Below are 4626 nucleotides of genomic sequence, written 5' to 3' on the forward strand. Positions count from 1 at the left end.
AGAAAAAGCTTGTAGAGTACAAATATAAAGAAAGAAAATATTTTGTACAGCTGTACAATGTGTTAGTGTTTTAAGCTAAGTGTTGTTACAAAAGAGTTGGCCAGGTGCACTGGCTCGCACCTGTAATCCCAGCACTTTGGGAGGCCGAGGTGGGCAGTTCACTTGAGGCTAGGAGTTTGAGACCAGCCTGGCCAACATGGCGAATCCCCATCTCTACTAAAATACAAAAATTAGCCAGGCGTGGTGGTACACGCTTATAGCCCCAGCTACTCAGGAGACTGAGGCACAAGAATCGCTTGGACCGGGGAGGTGGAGGTTGCAGTGAGCCAAGATCACGCTACTGCACTCCAGCATGGGCGACAGAGAGAGACTCCATCTCAAAACAAACAAACAAAAAGAGTCAAAAATTTTTTTACTTGAATATTTATAAAGTAAAAAAGTTGCAGTTAGAATTAATTTATTATTGAAGGGAGAAAAATTGTATAAATTTAGTGTAGCCTAAGTGTATAGTGTTCATAAAGTCTACAGTCCAAACCTACAGCCACATCGTGGGCCTTCACATTCACTCACCGCTCACTCCCTGACTCACCCAGAGCAACACCCAACCCTGCAAGCTCCATTCATGGAAAGTCCCCTATACAAATGTACCATTTTTTAATCTTTTATACCATATTTTTGTTGTATTTTTCTATGTTTAGATATGTTTAGAAACACAAATACTTGGCCGGACACAGTGGCTCATGCCTGTAATCCCAGCACTTTGGGAGGCCGAGGCGGGCAGATCACAAGGTCAGGAGATGCAGACCATCCTGGCTAACACAGTGAAACCCCGTCTCTACTAAAAATTACAAAAAATTAGCCGGGCGTGGTGGCGGGCGCCTGTACTCCCAGCTACTCGGGAGGCTGAGGCAAGAGAATGGCGTGAACCTGAAGGGCGGAGCTTGCAGTAAGCCAAGATCGTGCCACTGCACTCCAGCCTGGGCAACAGAGTGAGACTGTCTCAAAAAACACACAAATACTTACCATTGTGTGTTACAGTTACCTACAGTATTCACTACAGTAACCTGATGTACAGATTTGTAGCCTAGGAGCAATAGGCTTTACCATATAGCCTAGATGTATAGTAGGCTATCCGATCTAGGTTTAAGTACACTCCATGATTTTCATATGATGAAATTGCCTAACAATGCATTTTGCAGAATATAGCCTCATCGCCGGTGGATCACGAGGTCAGGACTTCGAGACCAGCCTGACCAACATGGTGAAACCCCGTCTCTACTAAAAATACAAAAATTAACCAGGTGTAGTGGCGGGCACCTGTAATCCCAGCCACTCAGGAGGCTGAGGCAGGAGAATCGCTTGAACCCGGAAGATGGAGGTTACAGTGAGCCAAGATCACACCACCGCACTCCAGCCTGGGCGACAGAGTGAGAGTCCATCTCAAAAGAATACAGTCTCATTATTTATTGACACATGACTGTATTTGGGAGATTCATCCATGTAATAGTGGCAATTCCTTAATTCTTATTACTGCTTAGTATTCCATTGTATGAACATGGCACAATTTATTTATTTATTTATTTACTCTACTGATGATGTATTCATTTGGACAGTTTCTAGTTTGGAGTTATTATACATAGGGCCACGGTGTATACTCTAGAACATGCCCCTTGATGAACACTGGTGCACATTGCTATCAGGCATATCCTAAGGAGTCAGCCATAGGTCACTAAGTTTGTGGTAACTTGTTACAACGGCATAGGAAACACAATAGAATCACCTTTCTGTATGTTTATTGGCCACATGGATATCCTCTTTTGTTAGAAGCTTGCCTGATTAAGTCTTTTGTTCACTTTAAAAAATTACGTTGTCTTTCTTTTTCTTTTGCTTTATGGAAGTTCTTTGCATATTCTTCATTCAATCTTTTATAGATGATACTTATATTCTCCCATTCCGCTGCTGATTTCTTTTATTCTCATAATAGTATGTTTTGATAAGTTCTCAACTCTAATCATGTCCAATGTATCTATCTTTTCCTTTACGGTTAGAGATTTTTCCACGCTTTTAAGAACACCGTCCTACAAGGTCGTAAAGACATTTGCATGCTGTTTTCTTCAAACTTTATTTTCTTAACCCATCTGAAATCGATATTTGGGTCTCATGCAAAGTAAGTGGCAAGATTTCCTTTTTTCCATATAGATACTCAATTGATCTAGCATCATTTATTTAAAATAGCATCTTTTCCTCACTGTATCACAGTGACCTTTGTCATACATCAGGTGACCACATATGTATAGATCTGTTTCTGGACTCTTTGTTTTATTGATCTACTTTTCCATCTTCACACCTCCTCATAAAAGAGTTAACAAAGCTGGCCTGAGAATGCTACCCTTTGATAGGCCTGCATGGAAGGTTGGCCTTTGGCTAGAATCTGGGAACTTAGATTTGGGGAGGGTTCCCACCATTCTCAGAATAGATAAGTTTGGCTCACTCTGCTTAAAGTGTTTTTACAAACAATACAGTTTTTGCTGAACACTTGCTTTCCTTCTGAGAGTCTGGAACTTGGGTGCGTGAAAAGCCCTTAGGAAGAACCCTGGGGCCGGGCGTGGTGGCTCACACCTGTAATCCCAGCACTTTGGGAAGCCGAGGTGGGAGGATCACTTGAGGCCAACAGTTCAAGACCAACCTGGCCAACATGGTGAAACCCTGTCTCTACTAAAAATACAAGAATTAGCCAGACGTAGTGGTGGGCGCCTATAATTCCAGCTACTCAGGAGGCTGAGGCAGGAGACTCACTTGTTCCCAGGAGATAGAGATTGCAGTGAGCTGAGACCGTGCCACTGCACTCCAGCCTGGGTGACAGAAGAAGACAGTCTCAAAAAAAAAAAAAAAGAAAAAGAAAAACAACAGCAACCCTAGGCACTGAGTCCCTAATGAGCCTTCCTGATGGCAATATTTCACATTCGTCATAACTCACTGGGAGAGTTAAACACATGCAGTGTGACCCCTGGTGCATCCACTGAAGAGAATTCTTGGAAGCTTGTTCGGAGTTTCCCCCAAATGTCACCCCATGCACATTTTCGCTTTGCTCTCGGTGTCCTTTTATTTTGTATCCTTTTACTGGAATACAAAATTTTACTTTGTATCCTTTTGCTGTAGTAAATCATAACCATGAGTACAACTAGACGCTGAGTCTTCCTAGTGAATTACCCAACCTGAGAACCCTGGTCTTGACCTTAGGAAATCTTAACACATTATCAATACCATACTGCCTTAGTTACTATAACTTTACAGTCATGAAAGCTGGCAGTGGAAGTTTGCAACTTTGTTCTTCTTTAAGATGGCCCTGCCTATTTTTTCCCCTTGAATTTCCATATCAATTTTAAGATCAACTCAATTTCCACCAAATTAAACCTGCAGGGATTTTTATTAGAATGTTATTTGCTCTCTAAGTCTATTTTGAAGAATTTATATTTCAGCAATTTTGAGTCTTCTAATCCACTAACAGGACATATTAGACCTTCTTTCATTTCTCTCAATTCTATGAATAATATTTTGTATTTTTTTTCTTTTGGTGAGAAAGTCTTGTATTTCATTTATTAAATTTATTACAAGGCATTTGGTAGTTTCTATGCTAATGTAAATCTTATTTTTTGTTTCTATTTTCCAGTTGTGTTTTTTGCTGTTTTGTAGAAATATAAATGATTTTTGTATATTGACTTTATATCCAGCAACTTAATAAATTTGTTATTAATCCTAATAGTTTAACCACAGAGCCTTTTGCTCTGTTATTAAACAACCATGTAGTCCATGAACAACGACAGATTGTTTCTTCCTTTTTAATCGTTGTTATGGGCTGAATTGTATTCCCCCAAAATTCATCTGTTTTGACTCTTCCATCCAGAAGCCAGGCATCCCTTCTCTCTCTTTAGACTTTAGATTTCTCAACTGAGAATCACAGAACAAGCAGTCGGCTGACAGCCCAAACTGAGAGACCCCACTGAGGCCCCCGCTTAGGAAGCTTGGCGAGAGGGACAGGCATCTCCGAGACTTCCACTCAGCAGGGCGTGGGGAGGCACATGGACTACCCACATCTAAGATCGTTGAGTCTGCTTTCTTCTTATCCTTTTATATCCTTAGTGAGGTGGGGGCTTCTAGCCTTCAGGACTCTGAGGAAATAAATTTTGGTTGTTTCAACCATCCAGTATTTAGTCCTTCATATGGCAGCCCTGGATGACTAATACAGTCATCAGACTTTGTAACTCACAGTAATTGAAGCACATACTACATGCCAGGCACTGGGCTGAGTAGTTTTCACGTCCTTTTTTTTTTTTTTGAGACGGAGTTGTGTGCTGGAGTGCAGTGGCACAATCTTGGCTCACGGCAACCTCCGCCTGCTGGGTTCAAGTGATTCTCCTGCCTCAGCCTCCCAGGTAGCTGGGATTACAGGTGTGCACCACCACACCGGCTAATTTTTATATTTTTAGTAGAGACGGTTTGGGTTTTGCCATGTTGGCCAGGCTGGTCTCAAACTCCTGACCTCAGGTGATCCACCTGCCCCAGCCTCTCAAAGTGCTGGGATTACAGGCATGAGCCTCATGTGCTTTTAAAAAAATTCCTCACAAT

This window comes from Homo sapiens, chromosome 6 (genome assembly GCF_000001405.40).
Source record: "Homo sapiens chromosome 6, GRCh38.p14 Primary Assembly".
In the NCBI taxonomy this organism is placed as follows: Eukaryota; Metazoa; Chordata; class Mammalia; order Primates; family Hominidae; genus Homo; species Homo sapiens.